The sequence below is a fragment of the Homo sapiens genome, chromosome 3, assembly GCF_000001405.40.
Source record: "Homo sapiens chromosome 3, GRCh38.p14 Primary Assembly".
NCBI classification, from domain to species: Eukaryota; Metazoa; Chordata; class Mammalia; order Primates; family Hominidae; genus Homo; species Homo sapiens.
Window position 1 is genome coordinate 50,299,883 of NC_000003.12, and position 16,803 is coordinate 50,316,685.

At 53.3% G+C, this 16,803-nt stretch overlaps 1 protein-coding gene across 7 annotated transcripts, besides 2 other annotated features; it reads right to left on the reverse strand.

Annotated features, from left to right (window-relative positions):
• HYAL1 (hyaluronidase 1) lies at positions 11 to 12,499 on the reverse strand. Of its 7 annotated transcripts, NM_153281.2 has the most exons (6): positions 12,382 to 12,499; positions 9,777 to 9,895; positions 3,906 to 4,071; positions 2,175 to 3,098; positions 1,106 to 1,195; positions 11 to 918 (listed from the first exon to the last, which is right to left on the reverse strand). In NM_153281.2, the coding sequence occupies exons 4-6, from the start codon at positions 3,072 to 3,074 to the stop codon at positions 601 to 603; spliced, it is 1,308 nt and encodes a 435-aa protein (NP_695013.1). In that variant the 5' UTR covers positions 3,075 to 3,098; positions 3,906 to 4,071; positions 9,777 to 9,895; positions 12,382 to 12,499; the 3' UTR covers positions 11 to 600. The 7 variants fall into 7 exon arrangements, 6 of the variants coding, with proteins under 6 accessions (NP_695013.1, XP_011531970.1, NP_695017.1 ...); XM_011533668.3 differs by lacking the exons at positions 9,777 to 9,895; positions 12,382 to 12,499 and having other exon boundaries at positions 3,906 to 4,101; NM_153285.3 differs by lacking the exons at positions 3,906 to 4,071; positions 9,777 to 9,895; positions 12,382 to 12,499 and adding an exon at positions 3,584 to 3,692 and having other exon boundaries at positions 2,175 to 2,323.
• Positions 3,176 to 4,110: an enhancer, noted in NCBI's record as "H3K4me1 hESC enhancer chr3:50340489-50341423 (GRCh37/hg19 assembly coordinates)". NCBI's record gives its function as "activates a minimal SCP1, AML or CMV promoter by ChIP-STARR-seq in naive H9 embryonic stem cells {active_cell/tissue: H9 hESC(naive)}" and the evidence as "EXISTENCE:reporter gene assay evidence [ECO:0000049][PMID:30033119]".
• Positions 3,928 to 4,097: an enhancer, noted in NCBI's record as "experimental_70532 CRE fragment used in MPRA reporter constructs". NCBI's record gives its function as "activates a minimal promoter by MPRAs in K562 erythroleukemia cells, with activity observed for the non-introgressed 3:50341326 variant allele {active_cell/tissue: K562}" and the evidence as "EXISTENCE:reporter gene assay evidence [ECO:0000049][PMID:34662402]".

Consider the following 16,803-nt stretch of genomic DNA (forward strand, 5'->3'; position numbering starts at 1 on the left):
AACAGCTAAGTAAATCATGACTGCTTTATTTGCTGGACTGGTGCCTCTCAGCAGATTCAGGGGTCGTGCAGGGCTGGTTACCACAAACTCAGTAGGAGTGCAAGGGCTGTACCCCCGGAGCTAGACAGCCTGGGTTTGAATCTCAACTTCTCCCTTTTCTTGCTGTGCAACCTTGGGCAACGTGCTTACTCTCAATGTGAGTGACTCAGTTTCCTCATAGCCTCATTGTGAGGAATGAATAAGTCCACATAAAACGCTTAGCACGGGGATTGGCAAAGAGTAGGCACTCAGTGAATGTCAGCCTTTGTGATTGCTGCAGTTCAAAGACTGGCTCAGTGTCTCTGGAGGAATTGTCTATGACCTTGCCAAGTAGATGCATATGGACATGGAATGAATGGTGTCTGCTGTGGTTCTAACTCCTTATGCCACTATTCCAGTCTGTAAGTATGCATGTGTGTGCAGGGAATATGCCTGTGACAGTGGCTGAGTGTACTCTTTACTGTGACCATGACTTGTATGACTGTGCATGTATTTGAGGAAGCCCTGGCCAGACCCAGAGTGCATTAGGTTCTCAATATGTGCAACTCAGTGTGTGGCCAATCACCACATGCTCTTCCGCTCACACCACGGTGCCTGCCAGCCAGGGTAGCATCGACATTTGAACTCCACAGCCATCTGTGCCTGATCTTCAAGTGAGAGGGCACCCCGCAGGCTCAGGGGCCCACCACCAGGCGTGAGCTGGATGGAGAAACTGGCAGGGTTAAGGAGGAGGAGGGCTTTGGGGTGGCTGGTGCGGCGGACACAGCGGCCATGGCCGGAGCACAGGGCTTGACTGCAGAGAAGGGCCCCACTGGTCACGTTCAGGATGAAGGGCCCCAGTGTAGTGTCCATATACTCCTTGATGGCCTGACATGATTCCTAGGTGGGAAGGGAGGATAGCGTCAGGGACACCATGGCCATGTATGGACCCACCCAGGGCACTGAGGCACTCACCTGCTGGTCAGCCAGGACTTTGCAGGTAGAAAGGGTAAGTCAGGGTCTACCCCGTCAGCTTAATGGCCCCACCCCTCCCCCACCCCCACCCTCATGCCAGGCCTAAGCTCACCTTGGTTCTTGTATTTTCCCAGCTCACCCAGAGCACCACTCCAGCTGCCCCCTGGGCCGCACTCTCCCCCAGGCTGTGCTCCAGCTCATCCTGGGAAGGAGACAGCACAGCTCTGTGGGGCCTCCTTCCCACCATGTGGCAGACTGCTGGAACACCATTAGATGGGACAAATAATTCATAACCTTCACCTGGGGCTGCTCTGGCCATGGGACCAGAGGCAAACTGCTTCCTCCTCTAGCCTATGAATTCCATGCAGACAGGGACTACATCATTCCAATAAATGTTGAATTGCCTGTGCCTGGCACAGAACTTGGCACCAAGTGCACACTCAATGGATGTGCCCATGCGCCAGGCGCGGTGGCTCATACCTGTAATCCCAGCACTTTGGGAGGCTGAGGTGGGAGGATCACCTGAAGTCAGGAGTTCGAGACCAGCCTGGCCAACATGGTGAAACCCCATTTCTACTAAAAATACAAAAATTAGCCAGACATGTTGATGGCATGCCTGTAATCCCAACTACTTGGGAGGCTGAGGCAGGAGAATCACTTGAATCCGGAAGGTGGAGGGTGCAGGAGCTGAGATCTTGCCCCTGCACTCCAGCCTGGGTGACAGAGCAAGACTCCGTCTCAAAAAAAAAAAAAAAAAAAGGATGAATGAATGGATGAAAATGTCCCAAGGTTGGGGGCCGGGCGCGGTGGCTCACGCCTGTAATCCCAGCACTTTGGGAGGCCGAGGCGGATGGATCACGAGGTCAGGAGATTGAGACCATCCTGGCTAACACAGTGAAACCCTGACTCTACTAAAAAATACAAAAAATTAGCTGGGTGTGGTGGCGGGCGCCTGTATCCCAGCTACTCGGAGGCTGAGGCAGGAGAATGGCATGAACCCGGGAGGCAGAGCTTGCAGTGAGCCAAGATCGTGCCACTGCACTCCAGCCTGGGTGACAGAGTGAGACTCTGTCTCAAAAAAAAAAAAACGAAGAAAATGTCCCAAAGCTAAAGTACCCCAAGGCTGGACCTAATATCTGACAAGGCAGGTTGACAAGGTGGGCAGGTTACAGAAGACTCACCAGGGGCAGAAAGTGGTTTGTCGTGTCATAGAAGATCTGGACATAGGGCAGCACCGGCAGATTGGGGTCACCAGCAGCCACAGCCACACGGAATGCCTCGGCCACACGGTGTTGCACATACATCTGTGACTTCCCTGTGCCCTCCAGCACTGCGGGCATGTAGATGCTGGGATAGAGGGCACGGCTCTGGCCCCACAGCCACCCTAGCTGGTCATTTTGGGCACGGATGCCTGATGGGCACTGGCCGGTGTAGTTGGGGCTTAGAAAGTCATAGTTGTAGCAGTCAGGGAAGCCATAGAAGCCCCAGAGGCCGCGAGGACGCAGTGCCCGCCCCAGCTGGAGGGTGCCTGCCATCCAGGCCCGTGCAGCTCCCTGGAACTGGTCCTGGGCTACTGCCTCCACCTGAGGAGCTGGCCAATCAGGGTGCTGTGCCTGTACCAGTGCCCGTGAGCGCTGCCGGTAAATGTCCTTGGTGTCCCAGTTGAAGGCCCAGCGTGGGCGCCATGCCTCCCAGTCGATGACTGCCAGCCCTGAGAAGTCAGGAGCAGGTATGGCAGCCAGGATGTCCTGGAATGTGCGGGCCAGGTGGGCAATCAGGCTGGCATTCTGGGGCAGACCACCAAACACAGGCTCCCCAGTGGGCGTGTAGTAGGGGTAGGTGCCCAGCTGGGAGCTATAGAAAATTGTCATGTCAGGGCCGCGGAAGGTCTGCCCTGGGTTGGCTACCACATCGAAGACACTGACATCCACGTCCACACCGTGCCTCTCCAGGCACCACTGGGTGTTTGCATTCCAGACGGTGGTGAAGGGCCGGTTGGGTAGCAAGGGGCCCCTAAAGCCTTGGGCCATATCGAGTAAGGTCAGGAAGAGGGCGCAGATGGGAAGCAGGTGGGCTGCCATGGCACGGGACTGGTCGAGGACAACCTGGCCAGGGGAGGCAGAGCTGAGAACAGGTTGCAAAGTCTCCGATTCCCCCACTGCTCAGGGCTGGGGGGCTGAGCCCTTGCGCATTAATCCACCGCTGCTCTGGTTTCTGTTAAACATTGACCTGCAGGGCTCCAGGAGGGCAGGGGAGACGCATGGAGGGGAGCATGGCCACTGGAGGGCACATCCGAGTTGCCTCTCAGACCAGGCCTCTGCCATCTCCCACAGGACTTGCTCTAGCCTAAGCTCGCCCACCCCTGCTTCCCCATGAGCCACTGAGGCCATGACATATGTTCTGGGAAGAGTGGCTGACAGCCAGGCCCTCAGCCCCCAGGCTGACCCGACCAAGGGGGGGAGGCCTTCCTGTCTCTTCCACCAGAAATCCTGGCAGCCACTGGAGGAAGATCCAATGGCCTCAGTGACCAAGGACAGGTCAACCCAGCCCTCCTGTACACCCGCCAGTCTGCCCGCTCGTCCCTGCTGACCTTGGGGCTGAAGGGCCTTATCCTCCAAATTTCCTGACCCCAGGATGGGGGCCTAAGCAGGGCCTGGCCAGATTCCACCCCAGCTGCACCAGAGACTCCTGGAGGAAGGAGCCGCTGCTGGAAATTCTGAGCTTTTGTAGGGGGTCACCCCACCCAGGCCAGGGGCGGGCCAAGGGGCGGGCCTTGGATTAGGAGGCCAGGCCAGCCAGGCATCAGGGCTACCTCTGAATCCCTGGCAAAGGGATCTTGGTTGGGGGTGGGGCTGGGCCAACAGTGGCCCCTCCCACGCTGTCAGCACTAGGGCAGGGCTTTGTGGCCTTACCTAGGCTGGAGGAGGTGGGCAGGGGCAGACCCTGCTGGGCAGGCCTGTTTGTGACACTGGAGACCGGGTTCTTTCGTGTCTTGTGCTCAGGGAGTGTTCTTTGTCCACGTGGCTGCATCTGACATTGATGGGCCCTAGGCACTTTACTTTCGTGGATCTTTTCCTCCTTAAAAAAAATATTTTAAAATATGGCCAGGCATGCCAGGTGCGGAGGCTCACGCCTATAATCCTAGCACTTTGGGAAGCCGAGGTGGCAGATCACGAGGTCAGGAGATCGAGACCATCCCGGCTAACATGGTGAAACCCCTTCTCTACTAAAAATACAAAAAATTAGCCGGGCGTGGTGGCAGGCGCCTGTAATCCCAGCTACTCGGGAGGCTGAGGCAGGACAATCCCTTGAACCCGGGAGGCAGAGGTTGCAGTGAGCCAAGACTGCTCCACTGTGCTACTATACTCCAGCCTGGGTGACAGAGAGCGACTCCATCTCAAAAAAAAAAAAAAAAAAAAAAATATATATATATATATATATATATATATATATATATATATATGGCTATAGTCTTAGCACTTTGGGAGGCTGAGGTGGGAGAATTGCTTGAGCCCAGGAGTTCGAGACCAGCCTAGGCAATGTAGCAAGACCCCATCTCTACAAAAAAATTAAAAATTAGCTGGGCATGGTGGTATGTACCTGTAGTCCCAGCTACTTGGGACACTGAGGCAGGAGGAGTGCTTGAGCCCAGGAGGTCATGTCTGGGTTACACTATTATATATTAATTATTAATATATTTACATTTATATTCTTCTTCTGATTAAAAAAACATTTTGTGGGCCCCTGAAAGTACTGTGGCCCTAGGCCTTGGGTCTATTGTGCTTAGTGGATAAGTCATCCCTGTTGTAGGGACCTGTTTCTGAAAGGCACTGTGTTCATGAAGTCAGGGCTGTGTCATCACCCTTTGTATATGTGCTGGGTTAGTGACTGTGTCTTTGTGAAGCCCCATTTAGTGACCATCTGAGCCTCTGCACAAATTCCAGTGGCAAGTAGGTGTGAGTGTGGAACCCAGTGCCTGGGACTGGGTGTGTGTGAGCCCTGCTGTCTTGTGAGCATGAGATCCTGTGTTTGTGTGACCATGCATATGAGCTGTCAGTGAGCACATGCTTGTTCATTCATTTGTGGTTTCACTTGTTCAATATGTGAAAGGAAAATATCTTGGGCCCCTTCAAGCTGGGAACCGCTCAGGACAAATCTGCCTCCCATTCTATTCAAGTCATCCTTTTGCTTACAGACATAGATGCATATTATGATTGCCTCCATTGCCTCTTTTGGAAAGACTACCAGAAACTCAAAAGAATGCAACCATCTGTCTGTCACCTGCCTGTGACCTGGAAGCCCCCAGTGGGGGGCCGTGCTTTGAGCTGTCTCCACCTCTCTGGACAGAGCTTATGTACTTCTGTTTTTTTTTTATTTTTATTTTTTGAGACGGAGTCTCGCTCTGTCGCCCAGGCTGGAGTGCAGTGGTGCGATCTCAGCTCACTGCAAGCTCTGCCCCCCGGGTTCATGCCATTCTCCTGCCTCAGCCTCCCGAGTAGCTGGGACTACAGGCGCCCGCCACCACGCCTGGCTAATTTTTTGTATTTTTAGTAGAGACGAGGTTTCACCGTGTTAGCCAGGATGGTCTCGATCTCCTGACCTTGTGATCTGCCTGCCTCAGCTTCCCAAAGTGCTGGGATTACAGGTGTGAGCCACCGCGCCTGGCCTAATTTTTTTTTAGATGAAGTCTCACTCTGTCGCCCAGGCTGGAGTGCAATGGCATGATCTCGGCTCACTGCAACCTCTGGCTCCCGGGTTCAAGCGATTCTCCTGCCTCAGCCTCCAGAGTAGCTGGGACTACAGGCGCGTGCCACCACACCCAGCTAATTTTTATATGTTTAGTAGAGACAGGGTTTCACCATATTGGCCAGGCTGGTCTTGAACTCCTGACCTTGTGATCTGCCCACCTTGGCCTCCCAAAGTGCTGGGATTACAGGCTTGAGCCACCACGCTTGGCTAAGGTACTTCTTACGTATTGATAGATGTCTCATATCTCCCTAAAATGTATAAAACCAAGCTGTGCCCGGAACACCTTGGGCACATGTCATCAGGACTTCCTGAGGCTGTGTCTTGGATGCATCTTCAACCTCAGCAAAATAAACTTTTTAAATTAACTGAGAGCTGTCTCAGATTTTCTGGGTTCACATTTGGTAACTATGGATGGATTCTGTGTGGAGATGTCCTTGACTTTTGACTAATTGCCTATCTGTGCTTGGTACCAGCAGGAGCTAACTTTATGGCTCAAACCAATAGGACAATTTGCTGAGGTCTGGGAGCACCCCCTCCAGAGAATCCTTGATTTCTCAATTGGTTGAGATCTAAAGTTTATTTTGCTGTACAACTCTTTTTTTTTTTTTTTTTTTTTTTGGAGTTTTACTTGCTCCCAAAAGGAAAGCAAGTTTTTCTGCTTCCATGACGATGGAAGGCAGGTAACTCCTTTATGGAGTTTGAGCTCGCTTCCAACAGGGAAAATTAGTTTTTTTTTCCTGCTTCTGGGATGGTAGAGAGCAGTCTACAGCCTGAGACCCATCACTAGGTAAGAAACTGGCTTGGGATTCTGCCTTGCAATTTCCTTTAAATGACTAAAGTTAGCATTTAACAACCAGCTGGTGTTAACTTCTGCTTACACTTACAGCACTCAGAAATCATATACTTTGTGTGATCATTGTTACTTTAGCAGCATTTTGTTCTAGCTGAAATATGGTAATAAGATTAAAAAAATTTTTTTTGGCTGGGAGTGGTGGCTCACACCCGTAATCCCAACACTTTGGGAGGCCGAGGTGGGCGGGTCACCTGAGGTCGGGAGTTTGAGACCAGCTTGGCCAACATGGTGAAACCTATCTCTACTAAAAATACAAAAATTAGCCCGGCATGGTGGTGGGTGCCTGTAATCCCAGCTACTCAGGAGGCTGAGGCAGGAGAATTGCTTCAACCTGGGAGGTGGGGGTTGCAGTGAGCCGAGATCATGCTACTGTTACTCCAGCCTCAGTGACAGAGCAAGACTCCATCTCAACAACAACAACAACAACAACAAAAACACAAAAATTATCCAGGCATGGTGGCCCACACCTATAATCCCAGCTATTCAGGAGGCTGAGGCAGGAGAATCACTTAAACTTGGAAGGCGGAGGTTGCAGTGAGCTGAGATTGCGCCACTGCCCTCTAGCCTGGGTGACAGAGCAAGACTCTGCTAAAAAAAAAAAAAAATAAGCCGGGTGCAGTGGCTCACACATAATCCTAGCACTTTGGGAGACTGAGGCAGGAGGATCATTTGAGGTCAGGAGTTTGAAACCAACCTGGCCAACATGGCGAAACCCTGTTTCTACTAAAAATACAAAAATTAGCCAGGCTTAGTGGTGTGTGCCTATAATCCCAGCTACTTGGGAGGCTGAGGCAGGAGAATCGCTTGACCTGGGAGGCAGAGGTTGCAATGAGCTGAGATCATGCCACTGCACTCCAGCCTGGGTGACAGCAAGACTCAGTCTCAAGAAAAAAATAAAAAATAAAAAATAAACCAAAATAGGGCCGGACGCAGTGGCTCACGCTTGTAATCCCAGCACTTTGGGAGGCCGAGGCGGGCGGATCACAAGGTCAGGAGATCAAGACCATCCTGGCTAACATGGTGATACCCTGTCTCTACTAAAAATACAAAAAATTAAGCTGGGCGTGGTGGTGGGCGCCTGTAGTCCCAGCTACTCGGGAGGCTGAGGCAGGAGAATGGCGTGAACCCGGGAGGCGGAGCTTGCAGTGAGCGGAGATCATGCCACTGCACTCCAGCCTGGGTGACAGAGCAAGACTCCATCTGAAAAAAAAAAAAAAAAAAAAAAAACCCAAAATAAATAAAAAGGAGGGATGTTCAGAACAAATTGGAAAGTCCAACCATGTCATGAACAGTCAGTGTAAGTCACAAAAAACCCAAAAACTTTTTTTTTTTTTTTGAGACGGAGTCTCGCTCTATCACCCAGGCTGGAGTGCAGTGGCGCAATCTCGGCTCACTGCAAGCTTGCCTCCCGGGTTCACGCCATTCTCCTGCCTCAGCCTTCTGAGTAGCTGGGACTACAGGGGCCCGCCATCATGCCTGGCTAATTTTTTTGTGTTTTTAGTAGAGACAGGGTTTCACCATGTTAGCCAGGATGGTCTTGATCTCCTGACCTCGTGATCCACCTGCCTCGGCCTCCAGAAGTGCTGAGATTACAGGTGTGAGCCACCGTGCCCGGCCAAAAACCCAAAAACTTTTATATAATCAAGTTGTCGTATACTTTTTTCTTCAGGGTAGAGTCTTGCTTTGTTGCCCAGGCTGAAGTGCAGTGGTGCAATCTTGGCTCACTGCAACCTCTGCCTCCTGGGTTCAAGTGATTCTCCTGCCTCAGCCTCCCCAGTAGCTGGGTTTACAGGCATGTGCCACCACACCTGGCTAATTTTTGTATTTTTGGTAGACATGGGGTTTCAGCATATTGGCTTGGCTGGTCTCAAACTCCTCGCCTCAGGTGATCCGCCTGCCTTGGCCTCCCAAAATGCTAGGATTACAGGCGTGAGCCACCATGTCAGGCCACGTTGTCGTATTATATATTATTATTATTATTATTTTTTGAGATGGATTCTCGCTCTGTCACCCAGGCTGGAGTGCAGTGGCGCGATCTCAGCTCACTGCAAGCTCCACCTCCCAGGTTCATGCCATTCTCCTGCCTCAGCCTCCTGAGTAGCTGGGGCTACAGGCGCCCACCACCGCGCCCGGCTAATTTTTTGTATTTTTGGTAGAGACAGGGTTTCACCGTGGTCTCGATCTCCTGACCTCGTGATCTGCCCACCTTGGCCTCCCAAAGTGCTGGGATTACAGGCATGAGCCACCGTGCCTGGCCTTTTTTTTTTTTTTTAGACGAAGTCTCACTCTGTCACCCAGGCTGGAGTGCAATGGCAGGATCTCGGCTCACTGCAACCTCTGGCTCCTGGGTTCAAGCGATTCTCCTCCCCTAGCCTCCCGAGTAGCTGGGATTACAGGTGCACACCACTACACCTGGCTAATTTTTGTATTTTTAGTAGAGACAGAGTTTCAGCATGTTGGTCAGGATGGTCTTGAACTCCTGACCTCGTGATCTGCCTGCCTCGGCCTCCCAAAATGCTGGGATTACAGGCGTGAGCCACCGTGCCTGGCCAACAGCTTTTAACAATTTAGTACAGTCCTATGAACAAAATTTGGAGCATATTTGTTTCTCTACCTGATTTCTCCAGAATTTGGAAACTATTTGTGAGTATTCTTAACTTATGGCAATACAGTTATTTGCATAAGTGCCATAAGAATCTGTTTTTGCCTGGCATGGTGGCTCACTCCTGTAATCCCAGCACTTTGGGAGGCCAAGGTGGGCAAATCACCTGAGGTTGTGAGTTCGAGACCAGCCTGGCCAACATGGCAAAACCCCATCTCTACTAAAAACACAAAAATTAGCTGGGCATGGTGGCACATGCCTGTAATCCCAGCTACTCCAGAGGCTAAGGCAGTAGAATCGCTTGAACCTGGGAAGCAGAGGTGGCAGTGAGCTGAGATTGCACCATTGCACTCCAGCCTGGGCAACAGAGCCAGACTCCACCAAAAAAAAAAAAAAAAAAAAGAATCTGTTTTCATTTGTAACAGGACACAATTGGAGGAATTGATTATTTGACCAAGACTTTGACAGGAATGGTGTGCTTTCGTTTAAGGAATCAAACTTAACTTATGGAGCCAATAAAGCCCTTGGGAAAACTGGCCTCACATTTTGTGTACACAGTCCCTGTACAGGATTTCTTACCTGTGGTAAGTAAAGAATGTCACTTTCTGGGGCCAGGAGTGGTGGCTCATGCCTGTAATCCCAGCACTTTGGGAGGCCAACGCGGGAGGATCACCTGAGGTCAGGAATTCAAGACTAGCCTGATCAAAAAAAAAAGGATGTCACTTTCTGACAGGCACAGAGGCCCCAGGTTTATGTTTATCTTGGAACTTGAAAGGAGAGGAAATTCCATCCAACTCATGGGTATTTGATGGCACAAATCCATGGCTGGGCAGGGCTTTAAAAAGTCTTACCTGAGATTCCTCTTATGGGACAAAATAAATTATTCTTGCTGCACTGTATACAAATATTTAGGCCAAGTATAATAAGCAAACAAGTCATACCATGATTTGTCTTTAGTAAAATGGGAAATTGGAGAGAGAATAAAATCATGTTTCAAAACGAATGTTCACCTGTTGTTAGATTCTAGTCTTAACTGTTTTTTTGTTTGTTTGCTTCCAATTTTTATGATTTTCTACAGTTTGGAATGAATTTTTCTTGGCTACAAGTCTTCAAATTAAGTTTTCAATTTTTTTCCTTCTTTTTTTTCATTTTCCTAATTTGGAGTCACTGAAAACTAAGCTGTGTGTTTTTTTTTTTTTTTTTGAGACAGAGTCCCGCTCTGTCACTCAGGCTGGAGTGCAGTGGCAGGGTCTCAGCTCACTGAACCTCCGCCTCTCAGGTTCACGCCATTCTCCTGCCTCAGCCTCCTGAGTAGCTGGGACTACAGGCAACCACCACCACGCCCGGCTATTTTTTTTTTGTATTTTTAATAGAGATGGGGTTTCACCGTGTTAGCCAGAATGGTCTCGATCTCCTGACCTCGTGATCTGCCCGCCTCGGCCTCCCAAAGTGCTGGGATTACAGGAGTGAGCCACTGCAATCGGCCACTGTGGTTTCTTTTCTTTTTTTTTTCTTTTTTTTTTTTAATTATTATTTTTTTATTGATCATTCTTGGGTGTTTCTCGCAGAGGGGGATTTGGCAGGGTCACAGGACAATAGTGGAGGGAAGGTCAGCAGATAAACAAGTGAACAAAGGTCTCTGGTTTTCCTAGGCAGAGGACCCCACGGCCTTCCGCAGTGTTTGTGTCCCTGGGTACTTGAGATTAGGGAGTGGTGATGACTCTTAACGAGCATGCTGCCTTCAAGCGTCTGTTTAACAAAGCACATCTTGCACCGCCCTTAATCCATTTAACCCTGAGTGGACACAGCACATGTTTCAGAGAGCACAGGGTTGGGGGTAAGGTCACAGATCAACAGGATCCCAAGGCAGAAGAATTTTTCTTAGTATAGAACAAAATGAAAAGTCTCCCACGTCTACATCTTTCTACACAGACATGGCAACCATCCGATTTCTCAATCTTTTCCCCACCTTTCCCACCTTTCTAGTCCACAAAACCGCCATTGTCATCATGGCCCGTTCTCAATGAGCTGTTGGGTACACCTCCCAGACGGGGTGGTGGCCGGGCAGAGGGGCTCCTCACTTCCCAGTAGGGGCAGCCGGGCAGAGGCGCCCCTCACCTCCCGGACGGGGTGGCTGGCCGGGCGGGGGGCTGACCCCCCCAACTCCCTCCCGGCCGGGGCGGGGGGCTGACCCCCCAACCTCCTTCCCGGACGGGGCGGCTGGCCGGGCGGGGGGCTGACCCCCCCACCTCCCTCCCGGACGGGGCGGCTGGCCGGGCAGAGGGGCTCCTCACTTCCCAGTAGGGGCGGCCGGGCAGAGGCGCCCCTCACCTCCCGGATGGGGCGGCTGGCCAGGCGGGGGGCTGACCCCCCCCCACCTCCCTCCCGGACGGGGCGGCTGGCCGGGCAGAGGGGCTCCTCACTTCCCAGTAGGGGCGGCCGGGCAGAGGCGCCCCTCACCTCCGGGATGGGGCGGCTAGCCAGGCGGGGGGCTGACCCCCCCACCTCCCTCCCGGACGGGGCGGCTGGCCGGGCGGGGGGCTGACCCCCCCACCTCCCTCCCGGATGGGGCGGCTGGCCGGGCGGGGGGCTGACCCCCCAACCTCCCTCCCGGACGGGGCGGCAGGCCGGGCGTGGGGCTGATCCCCCCACCTCCCTCACGGACGGGGCGGCTGGCTGGGCAGAGGGGCTCCTCACTTCCCAGTAGGGGTGGCCGGGCAGAGGCGCCCCTCACCTCCCGGATGGGGCGGCTGGCCAGGCGGGGGGCTGACCCCCCCACCTCCCTCCCGGACGGGGCGGCTGGCCGGGCGGGGGGCTGATCCCCCCTCCCCTCACGGATGGGGTGGCTGGCCGGCCAGAGGGGCTCCTCACTTCCCAGTAGGGGCGGCCGGGCAGAGGCGCCCCTCATCTCCCGGACGGGGCGGCTGGCCGGGTGGGAGGCTGTCCCCCCCACCTCCCTCCCGGACGGGGCGGCTGGCCGGGCGGGGGGCTGACCCCCCCACCTCCCTCCCGGACGGGGCGGCTGGCCGGGCGGGGGGCTGACCCCCCCACCTCCCTCCAGGACGGGGCGGCTGGCCAGGCGGGGGGTTGACCCCCCCATCTCCCTCCTGGACGGGGTGGCTGCCGGGCGGAGACCCTCCTCACTTCCCAGACAGGGTGGCTGCCGGGCGGAGGGGCTCCTCACTTCTCAGACAGGGCGGCTGCTGGGCGGAGGGGCTCCTCACTTCTCAGACGGGGCGGCCAGGGAGAGACGCTCCTCACATCCCGGACGGGGCGACAGGGCAGAGGCGCTCCCCACATCTCAGACGATGGGTGGCCGGGCAGAGAGGCTCCGCACTTCCTAGATGGGATGGCGGCCGGGAAGAGGCGCTGCTCACTTCCTAGATGGGATGGCGGCTGGGCAGAGACGCTCCTCACTTTCCAGACTGGGCAGCCAGGCAGAGGGGCTCCTCACATCCCAGACGATGGGCGGCCAGGCAGAGACGCTCCTCACTTCCCAGACGGGGTGGCGGCCGGGCAGAGGCTGCAATCTCGGCACTTTGGGAGGCCAAGGCAGGCTGCTGGGAGGTGGATGTTGTAGCGAGCCGAGATCACGCCACTGCACTCCAGCCTGGGCACCATTGAGAGACTCCGTCTGCAATCCCAGCACCTCGGGAGGCCGAGGCTGGCAGATCACTCACGGTTAGGAGCTGGAGACCAGCCCGGCCAACACAGCGAAACCCCGTCTCCACCCAAAAAATACGAAAACCAGTCAGGCGTGGCGGCGCGTGCCTGCAATCGCAGGCACTCGGCAGGCTGAGGCAGGAGAATCAGGCAGGGAGGTTGCAGTGAGCCGAGATGGCAGCAGTACAGTCCAGCTTCCGCTCGGCATCAGAGGGAGACCGTGGAGGGAGAGGGGGAGGGGGAGGGGGAGGGGAGGGGGAGGGGGAGGGGGAGCCACTGCAATCGGCCACTGTGGTTTCTTTTTTTTTTTTTTTTGAGATGGAGTCTCGCTCTGTCACCCAGGCTGGAGTGCAGTGGCGCGATCTCAGCTCACTGCAACTTATGCCTCCCAGGTTCAAGCAATTCTCCTGCCTCAGCCTCCCGAGTAGCTGGGACTACAGGCGCTTGCTACCATGCCTGGCTAATTTTTGTATTTTTAGTAGAGACAGGGTTTCACCATATTGACCAGGCTGGTCTCGAACTCCTGACCTTGTGATCCGGCCGCCTCGGCCTCTCGAAGTGCTGGGATTACAGGCGTTAGTCACTGCGCCCGGCCCTAGCTGTGGTTTCTTAAAAGCGTGTCAACTAAAGTCAGACAACTTACACTTCAGAAGAAAGTAACAGTAACCTGTTTATGTACATACATAAGCCACTTTCATACCTGCCTACCAATGTATGGACTTCAGAGTAATGTGGCCTATATTTTCCCAGGATTTTTTTTTTTTTTTTTTTTGAGATGGAGTTTCACTCTTGTTGCCCAGGCTGGAGTGCAATGGCGCAATGTCAGGTTGCTGCAACCTCCGCCTCCTGGGTTCAAGTGATTCTCCTGTCTCAGCCTCCTGAGTAGCTGGGATTACAGGCATGAGCCACCATGCCTGGCTAGTTTTTTGTATTTTCAGTAGAGACAGAGTTTCTCCATGTTGGTCAGGCTGTTCTCGAACTCCCAACCGCAGGTGATCCACCCGCCTCAGCCTCCCAAATTGTTGGGATTACAGGCATGAGCCACCCCGCCAGGGCTGGGATTGTTCTTTTGCTGTTTTTTTTTTCTCTTCCTTCCTTCTCCCTATTTTCTCTTCACACTGCATGAGACTTTACAACCTGCTAAAAATGAGCTTTCCGGACCTACTTATCTAGCAATGAGAGATCAGATGAAACCTGAGACCAGATACTCATTTTCTTGCAAAATGCTTTCTCCAAAAGATTTTGAAAAAGAAAATGGGGTAAATGTGAAAGGAAAGTATCTTGGGCCTCTTCAAGCTGGGAACTGCTCAGGACAAATCTGCCTCCCATTCTATTCAAGTCATCCTTTTGCTCACAGAGATAGATGCATATTCTGATTGCCTCCTTTGGAAAGACTTACCAGAAACTCAAAAGAATGCAACCATCTGTCTCTCACCTATCTGTGACCTGGAAGCCCCCAGTGCTTTGAGCCTGGGAGCCTTGATTTGAGCAGTCTCCACCTTTCTTTCTGGAACTAATGTACTTCTTACATATTGATTAATGTCTCATGTCTCCCTAAAATCTATAAAACCAAGCTGTGCCCCAACCGCCCTGGGCACATGTCCTCAGGACTTCCTGAGGCTGTGTCACCAGCAAGTCCTCAACCTCGGCAAAATAAACTTTCTAAGTTAACTGAGACCTTTGTCAGATTTTCTGGGTTCACAGCTGATTCAGAAGCTGGTTATTGACACCTGCTAGGTGCTTGGGCCCAGCCTTGCCTGCCAGAGTAGGTTGAAGGAAACACCATGTCCCTGCCCAAGTGAAAGTGCTACCTGGATCTGAGTCAAGTCTGAGACTGAGCCACTGTAGCCAGGCCACCCCTGGCACGGTGGCCACTGAAGCAACGAAACTCACAGTTAACTACCATCTGGGTTGGGTCCTACAGGCTGCCTGGGATAGAAAAGCTGGCAGGGCTGAGGGAAAGAAGGGCCCAGGATGCTGGGGACAGCATGAGACTTGTACACAAGATCAAGCCCCAGAAGTGGTGACTGCTGATCCAGTTCAGGAAGCAGGGTCCCAGAGTGATGACCATGTAGGCCCAGAGAGCCTGGCACAACTCTTGAGGGCTGAGGGAACAGAACATCAAGGCAACCCCTGGCCCCCCTCCTCAAGGATTCATGCCACCTCCTGGTGCCCCCAGAAACCTAGTGCTGCAGTTGGCCCAATCCAGGTAACCACCAGGCCAGCATTCTCCAGCTGGCCTCAGTCCAAGGGAGAAGCTCTAATGGTGGAACCATAGGAAGAATCTGAGGGTGCCTGAAATCCTCCTCCACCCCAGGGCCCTGCCCACAGGCCTGCTCCTACTGGGCTGGTCCAGTAGGATTGGCTCAAATGGTGTGTGTGTGCGCATATGTCTGGGGTCCATCAGCTTGATGGTCCAGTCCCGCCTGCTGTCTCCGGTTGTTCAACACTTCAGATCTCTGAGCCGCATCACTCCCCATTACCTTATTCCTACCCACTCCCCGCTTTCCCCACAGGACAGTGCTGGCTCTCCCTGAGTTGCACTTTCCCTAGGACCATCTTTTAGGTCCTCCGGGGGAAGAAATGTGAGGTTCATAAAGGTTTATATGGAGGGGGTCACAGCTCGATGGGTACTGGTCACAGCTATGCAGGAGAGGTCACAGTTGCGGAGGAGTCAGTTATTTGGAGACGGTAACAGCTGTATGGGGTCACACATGGGAGGGGTTACAGGTATGTAGGGGTCATAGCTAGGTGGGAAAGGTCACAGTGGTGTGGTCTGGATCACCTCTGTGTGTTGGGTGTGGGTGGGGTAGCTCAGAGGTATGCATGGGTCACATCTGTGTGGGGGAGGTCACAGGTGCAGGAAGTCACAGGTATGGGGGACAGGCCACAGCTCCTTTCTCCTTTCCTGCTGTCCTTTTGCTAAGTGCCATCATCTTATTGTGGCAACTTTTTTTTTGAGACAGAGTCTTGCTCTGTCACCCAGGCTGGAGTTCAGTGGCCCATTCTCCGCTCACTGCAACCTCCTGGGGTCAAGTGATTCTTGTGTTTCAGCTGCCCAAGCAGCTAGGACTACAGGTGTGCACCAACAAACCCAGCTAATTTTTTTTTTTTTTTTTGAGACAGAGTCTCACTCTGTCGCCCAGGCTGGAGCGCAGTGGTGTGATCTTGGCTCACTGCAACCTCCACCTCCCGGGTTCAAGCGATTCTCCTGCCTCAGCCTTCTGAGTAGCTGGGATTACAAGCAGGCACCACCATACCCGGCTAATTTTTTATTTTCAGTAGAGATGGGGTTCACCACGTTGGTCAGGCTGGTCTCTAATTCCTGACCTTGTGATCTGTCCGCCTCGGCCTCCCAAAGTGCTGGGATTAGAGGCGTGAACCACCAGGCCCGGATGCCCAGCTAATTTTTGTATTTTTAGTAGAGACAGGGTTTCAGCATGTTGGCCAGGCTGGTCTCAAACTCCTGGCCTCAAGTGATCCACCTGCCTTGGCCTCCCAAAGTGCTGGGATTACAGGGGTGAGCCACCGCACCCGGCCCATCATTTTATTGACCAACACCTGAATCTTCTCTCCAGCCTGGCCTCCCCCCACCATGGCCATGAGCACCTGGGACCCCTCCACTTGTATGTGCACCTCCTCCTTCACTGTGTGAATTTACCACGTCACCTTTCCAGTGTTACCACCTCACTCTCTCCTCTCCATTCTCTACCCATCACCGGCGAAAGAGGTGAGGGAAGGATATCTTTACAGCCTGGGTTGGCACTGGCTTGGCCGGGCTTGTTTCTCCCATCTGGCATCTCGGTCTTTGCATCTAGTGTGCATCTACCTCTATTTTGTCACTCCCACAAGGACGGGGGTCTTTGTTGGTGTGGTTCATAGATGCATCATCGATGCATCCCCAGCACCTAGCCCAGCACAGGCACACTGTGTGCTCAGCGTT